Raw genomic sequence first — 8236 nt, 5'->3', positions numbered from 1 at the left:
GTTACCCAGGCCTCACCCTTCCCTCTGGAACCCCAAGCTGCAGTTTGCCATCATGGCTAGGGGAATCTTCTGCACCCTTCTAAAGATGGTGAGGTGTTTTACAGGTGAGGAAATGGAGACTCAAGAAGTCCTGTGACTTCCACAAGAGCTCCTGAGCTCCATGAAGCAGGGAACCCGGTCTTCCTCACTTACCCTCACATGCTTAGCACCTCCTGTGCCTGGCACAGAACCAGCACTTGATAAACCTGTGTCGAGTAAATGACTGGATGGCTCTCTGAGGGGAAGAACTGGGAAAGATCCTAGTGAGGGGAAGTCCCAGTTCCTAATTTAGCCAGACTGGACTCTCCTGGCTCTTGAGACAGTTTCTTTTTTTCATGCATGATCCCTCAGCCACTGCCCCCCTCCAAAAAGGAAACAGATGACTAGGAGGGTCCATGGGATGAGAGCTGGAGGCCAGAGACTCATCTGAACACTTGGTGCCTGAAGTGACATTTCAGAGTTGATGGGTTTCCAGGTGGTTGGGGAGAAATCTATCCTCCTCCCTTCAGCGTACCTGCAGCATGGACAGTGGGACAGGAAGGAGCTCCAGGGTGCCAGCTGCTGGCCTTCTGCTCTGCTTGGCTTCTCACTGGGCTGTCGGGGCTCCTCCCCTGCTTAGCCTTGGAAGGGAGCACATGGCTGTGCAAGCAGGGCTGGGAACTTCCATGGCCCCATGCACCATCTCACGGTGGCCCACCCTGCCCTCCTTACCTGAAGGACGACACAGGACCTCGGGGCACTCTGCCTGCCATTCAACAGAAAATGGGCCTTGGTCCTAATCACAGCCTAGCAATTCATAGTCTCAACACCAAACATTTGTAAGGGAACAGTAATTTACAAATCCCTTTCCCAGGCTCCCCTGTTCCATCTGTAGAAGGAGACTGGACTGGAGCTTCCCTTCCAAATTCATCTTACTCCACCCCAGACCTTCGCTCCCGGTGCCTCGGGGCAGCCAGCTCAACCCTGGGTGGCAGGTGACCTCCTTATCTTCACTCTTCTCTCCCTCACACAGCCACTAGCTTAGTCCAGACCGTCACCGTCCCTTGAGAGGACAGTTTCAGTAGCCTCCCAACTTCACTTCCCCTACCTTCAGGCTCCCCACCAGACACCCTCCACATGGCTGCTAGACTCCCTCTGTTCTTCTTGTCTACGTATCCGACCATATCCTTGTGAAGCGTAAGCAGCCTCCCTCTAAGGATCTTCATGAAGTCCCACCCTTCCCACCTCCTCTTCTTACCTCTGCCCAGTACTCCCTGAATGCGTCCAGCTGCTCCTTGACTCCCTATCCTAAGCAGCCTGTCCCCTCTGCCCGGAATGCCCCCTCAATGGTGTACCTGGCGAATCCACTGTCTCCTCACCCCACCTCATCCCCATGCACACAAAACTTTTAAGGTACTTCTCAGGACTGTAATGATATTATTAACTCTTATAGGCCCAGGGCATCACACAGAGTGCCTGGCATGCGATATCTAAATATGTAGCACACAACTGTTGAATAAAAGCTAGAAATCAAAGAGTCCAGAGGCAGCACCAGCGTTGAGGGAATCTTTAGGGTGCTCCCTTTCCCTCTGAGTTCCTCTATGGCCTGCAACTGACACAAGGAACCAGATCCAGGAAATAAGCAATATTTCAACTCCCTCTGCTTAGGGATTGAGTTCCCTCTCCCCTTGACTGTGGGCGCTCACAGGGGTGCTAGGTCAGACCTGAGCTTTTTATGAGCTGTGGGTGAGAACCAGCTGATTAACCCAGCCTTGTAGTAATAGCCCCTCAGTACCAGATTGTGCTACCGTTATTTGGGGCCAAGAGAAATGCTGGCTCCTGCCTTTCCTTGCCAAGGGCCAGGAGCTGGTGACCCGGCTAAAGAATGTGCTTTGCTTGGGGTTTACATTCCAGGATTGGCTTGGGAGGCCAAGGGCTCAGGTTGCCATTGGGAGCCAGGCACGGGGAAGGGGGGTGGCAATGGGCAGACCTTTCTCCCACCTCCCTCCTGGGCACACTTCCCATGCCCTGCCCTGCCTGGTCATTCCAAGTGGAGGCAGGGCCAGGAGGAAGACCCTCAGCCCCTTCATAGGGAGCAGCATTTAAATGGAGTGTGAAGTGGCCTAGTATCCACTGCCATAAACCCCCACCTGCTGGGGAGCCTTTAACAGCTTACAAAGTATCTCCAAGTTTGGGGTCTTCTTTGAATAATTAGGAACTGAGGGCTGGGAGATCGAGTCACCTGTCCCAGGTCATGTGGCCAGCAAGCAGCAGAGTTGGGTGTAGCACCTCATCTCCTGACTTCCATTCCCAGGCTCATTATACCTCCTGCCACATCTATATCAACAGCCCCTGTACCCCAACATCTAACCAGAAGCCCCGACTTCACAGGGTCAGTGGAGAATCAATAAAATAGTGAGTGTGAAAGGGTGGACACCTGTAAAGATGGGGGGTTATTTTTCTTTACTCATCCTTTACTCAAAAAGGGTCTCAGGTGACTACAACGTAATAGAGTGAGTTAGTAGAAAGTACTTGAAGACCCATGGAGGAATCCCATGAAAATTTTCCCCAGTCGCCGGCATAGCTTCTCCACTCCCTAGCACCCACACTTCCCAACTCCACAGCAATGGAAGTGACAGATCCTCCGTGACTGGGAAAAGGACACAGGAGTGAAGGGCAGAAAAAGAGAAAAATCTCTGGTTTCGCTACTAACAATGGGGTAAGGAGACCCTTTCTAAAACACTGACTGGAAGTTCTAAACTTTATTTATTTATTTATTTATTTACTGAGACGGAGTTTCACTCTTGTTGCCCAGGCTGGAGTGCAATGGCAGGGTCTCGGCTCACTGCAACCTCCGCCTCCCAGTTTCAAGTGATTCTCCTGCCTCAGCCTCCCAAGTAGCTGGGATTACAGGTGCCTGGCTAATTTTTGTTTTTTTAGTAGAGACAGGGTTTCACCATGTTGGCCAGGCTGGTCTCGAACTCCTGACCTCAGGTGATCCGCCCAGCTCGGCCTCCCAAAGTGCTGGGATTACAGGCGTGAGCCACTGCGCCCAGTCCCTCTAGACTGCAAATCTACACATATATCCACCCCTCCACCTCCCAACTCTCAGAACAACTTCCTTCGGGTGTTCGAATCTAGCACTAAGAGTTGTTAAGAGGTCCTTTCTTTTCTCTCTCAGATCAGCTCCTTCCTCCCTCCCTTAACACAGAGGTCCAGCCTTGGGCTGTTTCAATGACCACTTCCTAGCTCTGAGCTTATCTTAACTGTCTTCTGTCCCAAATCAGGTCAGCTGGAGCTCAGGGAACTCTGATAACCCCTCGCTGTCACACACACACTAGGTGCGCGCACACACTCTTGGGTCTCTGCCGAAATTGAGGGAGGGGACTTGGGAGGACCAGAGCCCAGCAAAGCGCCAGGCAGACGGATAGGAAACCATCAGTCTGACGACCTCACTTCTAATTTCATCCCACAGCAAGCCCAGGAGGTAGTCATTTCAGATGAGGAAAGTATGACGCAGAGCAGCTTAGTCTACTTGACACTCTAGGCAAGTCAGGAATCCTCTCTAAGCCAAAGTATGAGGGCTAAGAGTGCTGTTTCTGGAGCCAGATTGGACCCCAGGCAATCTGGCTTCACCACTTGACAACTCTGTGACCCTGCATAGGCCCTTAATTGCTCTGTGTCACTTTTCTCACACGCAATGGGGATATCATAGGCTAGTATGTACTTCATAGAGTTGTAGAAAGGATTGAATTCATGAATACAGGAAATCTAAGGAACAGTGGCTGACACACAGTATGTTAGCTGCATAAAAGAATAATTCTTATTTATACATGAAGTGGTGGAGACATGAGTTATAGTCACAGTCAGTTAGTGACAGAGCAGAGCCTGAAGCCCAGGTTGCCAGACTCTTGAGCCAAAAACATTATGCCAGCCTGGGGATGCGAGACGGAATGGGGCTCCTGAATGTCCAGTACTGAAGGAATCAGTTACCAGGTGGCAAAAGAAAGCGAGTGGCTGAGATTTCTAATTTTTTTGGGTGGGGGGGACGGAGTCTTGCTCTGTTGCCCAGGCTGGAGTGCAGTGGTGCGATCTCTGCTCACTGCAAGCTCCGCCTCCCGGGTTCACGCCATTCTCCTGCCTCAGCCTCCTGACTAACTGGGACTACAGGTGCCCACCACCACGCCCGGCTAATTTTTTGTATTTTTAGTAGAGACGGAGTTTCACCATGTTAGCCAGGATGGTCTCGATCTCCTGACCTCATGATCCGCCTGCCTCGGCCTCCCAAAGTGCTGAGATTACAGGCGTGAGCCATCGCGCCCAGCCCTTGAGGTTTCTAATTTGTCCCTGCTTAGATATTGCAGAGAAGTTAAAGCAGATTTGAAACAAAACTGAGAGTTGGTTTATCCAAATCTCCTTTTACAGATAAGGAACCACCCCTAAAAGAGAAAGTCCTTGGCCATGGCATGGTGTGGGTTGGTGGTGGAAGTGGAGCTGGACCCCGGCACGCCTGCGTCCTGTCTCTCTGCGTGTGCTCTCCCTCCCATTCCAGGATGGAGACAGGGCAAGCTCTTTGGCTTGGGGAGAAGAGCTAGCTTCTCCTTCAGTCACATCCCCTCCCAGGCCTGGTCTGTGAATAACATTCGGTTTCTCAGGGTAATTGAGAGTTTGAGGGCTGTTTTCAGTGTTTGCGGCACAAATTCTCCAAACTTCCGGCAAGACATACTAGAATTTAGAATTTAGAACCAGGGCTGGCTTAATAAATGTTAGATATCATTATAGCTGTTATTGCAATTACTCAGTCCATATTTGTTGAATGAATGAATGAATGAACAAATGAACGGTTTACTGGAGGAACAAATTGCCTAAGCCGACTTCTGCTTGTGGTCACAGCTTTGGGCATCCCATAAAACATGCTAGGCTTAGTTTGGTCAGAAGAGGGCAGCTTTGAGCTAGGCTTCCCAATTTGCCAGCGACTAACAGGATTTGCATCCCTTTCTTGGAGGGGAGGTAGGGAATACTACAGGCTGTAATTCATCCTCAGGGCTCAAGACTCATCTTAGAGGTATCTGAGATCTGCCTTACCTGCTCCCAACCCTCACGTGACCCCCATGGCATGGCCTTGGTGCCTCTCACCTCTGCTCCTACCTGCACCCTGCTCCCACCAGGACACATCACAGCAGTCCACACACTGAGCTGCTTTCAAATCCCCTTTTACCAGTCTGGACCCACCTCCACTCCCCTACAGACACACACACAAATTGTGAAGTGTGTAAGGACAAGGACAGACATTTGTTCCCACTTGTTTTCCCAGCACAGCACATAGTAGATCCAATAAACAGCTTTCCCCCATGACCCCCTCAGACATGGATCAGCCATGGGACTTGGGGCTGGGGGGTAGGCGTCTCCCTTCCAGGAGTCAATAGTGGGGCAGGCAGGATTGAGAGTAGCTTAGCTCAGCCCAGATATCTCAGCACATCCACACATCCGACCACATGACCCAGGAATTCCCCAAGACTGCTGGTGGCAGAGTCCCCGACCAACACGGATTCCCTGTCAGGCACTCTCGCTTTCCCACCAACTAGACCTCCTTTAAGGAATTTGAGATATGAGTTTCAGCAGCTTAGATCATTTCCGAGTCACATGCTGTTCTGGCTCTGTGTCTTCCTTGCCTACCTGCTGTGATCTTTGGTCACCCATGGCTCCTCACCTAGATGGGAATTCAGATTGTAGTCAAAGGAAGCTGGAGCAGGGGTGAGAAGGTCCAAGAAGTTGCAGATGATTCCCTCCCGACCATGGCCAGATAGCTGGTAATGGAGTGGGCCCAATCACATGTAGGTGCTTTTAGTTTCATCTTTGGATTCCATCGCACATCCATTCCTTCAGTTCATAAGCATCTATGGAGCGACTTTTAGGTGCCTCGCAGCACACTGGGTGTTGGGGATACCTGGAAAAAATTACAGGAGTGTAGCTAGATTAAGCCTTAAAAGAAGCGTTAAGCTCATCTGTATAATTCTTTCATCTTATGAAGAAATGTTGATTCAGCTGGCCAATTGCCACTTGTCCTTCAGGTCTCAACTTAAAAAGTCCTGGCTTTAGGAACCTGCGCCTGACCAGCCTCCTCCCACCTGGGATACATATCTTAAAGAAAATCTGAGCCGGGCGCAGTGGTTTACACCTGTAATCCCAACACTTTGAGAGGCCAAGGCGGGCAGATCACCTGAGGTCAGGAGTTCAAGACCAGCCTGACCAACATGGAGAAACTCTGTCTCTACTAAAAATACAAAATTAGCCGGGTGTGGTGGCGCATGCCTGTAATCCCAGCTACTCAGGAGGCTGAGGCAGAAGAATCGCTTGAACCCGGGAGGCGGAGGCTGTGGTGAGCCGAGATCACACCACAGCACTCCAGCCTGGGCAACGAAAGCAAAACTCCGTCTCAAAAAAAAAGAAAAGGCAATCTGTTCTTCTTCCATCATGGACCCTTCTCCCTCTGTACAGGATTTACTTGTTTATTTCTCACTAGACTGAGAACATTCCAAAGGCAGGAATCTTGTCATGATTGTGTCCCCAGGCTCAGCACCTAGTGGGCACCAGTATTTGTAGAATGAAGTAATTAGTAGAAGGCCACAGAACTGGTTAGTGTCAGAGTCAGGACTCGAACTCAGGTCCCCCAACACTCGGCCCTGTGCTTGCTCTTATGTTATCCATACTTCCTTTTGAGAATTCTAATCATCTGGATGAGCCCCCAGGAATAGAAGCAGATTTCAGAGGGGAAAGGAGATAGCAAGTCAAGGCAACTATCTCTGGGCCTCATCCTATTTGCACAGAAAACCCACAGCAAAAGGGGAGGCTGGTGGAGGGAAGAATGCCAAACCAGCTGCCACCTCCTGTGGCCCTCCAAATTTGGGAGCGATACATTGGTTTCCTGTGTAAGATGGATCCTCTCCAGTCACAAAGGAGATAAAGAGCTCCATGGAGGGATGGAGACATCTGTAACTCACACTAGAAAAATAATCAAAGGATCAGTGGAAGTAGAAAAGTGGGCAGCCACTGGGGGTGGGTCCTTCTCCATCCTCAGCATGCCCTGGATACACAGGGGAGGCACCATCCTCCTGAAGGCCTGAGGGGAAGGCTGGCTCTCCAGCATAGCTAGAATCCATCCAGGGCCCTAAACTGGCTGGCAGAAGGGGTTTCCCTCAGGGAAGAGGATCCAGGTCTATTGTCCTCTATTCTCTTCCTCAGGACCAGGGTCTAAATCCCGCCACTTTATTACCAGTTGTGTGGCCTTGGACAGAATAATACTCATTTCACAGGATTAGGTTATCAAGATGGCCAAAGGGGAAATGTTCCCTTTCTGCCATTTAAAGCAAGAAGGAAAACCTATGGCCATTCTCATTTCACTGTAAATGAGCACTCAGAGTGGAGATTCTGGACCTAGCAACTCCAGGCCTCAAAAACTAAGTCAAGCTGGGCGCAGTGGCTCACGCTTGTAATCCCAGTACTTTGGGAGGCCGAGGCGGGCGGATCACGAGGTCAGGAGATCAAGACCATGGTGAAACCCTGTCTCTACTAAAAATACAAAAAATTAGCCGGGCGTGGTGGCGGGCGCCTGTAGTCCCAGCTACTCGGAGAGGCTGAGGCAGGAGAATGGCGTGAACCCGGGAGGCGGAGCTTGCAGTGAGCAGAGATCGCACCACTGCACTCCAGCCTGGGCGACAGAGGGAGACTCCGTCTCAAGTCAAACCTCATAACCTACCACCAGTGCTCCTGGCACCAAAATCACAAGAAAACCTTGGGTGGAGCAACCATTTTCAGACTTAGGGACACAGGTTAGATAGTCGGCATGTAAAAATGTTAAATAAATATGTATCCCTTCGGGTTCTCTCCACCTCCAGCCGACACATCCTAAATAAATTCCACTAAGTGGTTGAGGGAATCTACTAAACCTTAGAAGCCCTCTTTTTTTTTGAAACGGAGCCTCACTTTGTTGCCCAGGCTGGAGTGCAGTGGCGCCATCTTGATTCACTGAAACCTCTGCCTCCTGGGTTCAAGCGATTCTTCTGCCTCAGCCTCCAGAGTAGCTGGGATTACAAGCGCGCACCACCACGCCCGGCTAATTTTGTATCTTTAGTGGAGATGGGATTTCGTCATGTTGGCTAGGTTGGTCTTGAACTCCTGGACCTCAAGCGATTCGCCTAAGAAGCCCTCTTTGAGGAAG

This window comes from Homo sapiens, chromosome 1, assembly GCF_000001405.40.
Source record: "Homo sapiens chromosome 1, GRCh38.p14 Primary Assembly".
In the NCBI taxonomy this organism is placed as follows: Eukaryota; Metazoa; Chordata; class Mammalia; order Primates; family Hominidae; genus Homo; species Homo sapiens.
The sequence above is the reverse complement of the archived record's forward strand: the minus strand, read 5'-3'. Positions refer to the sequence as shown.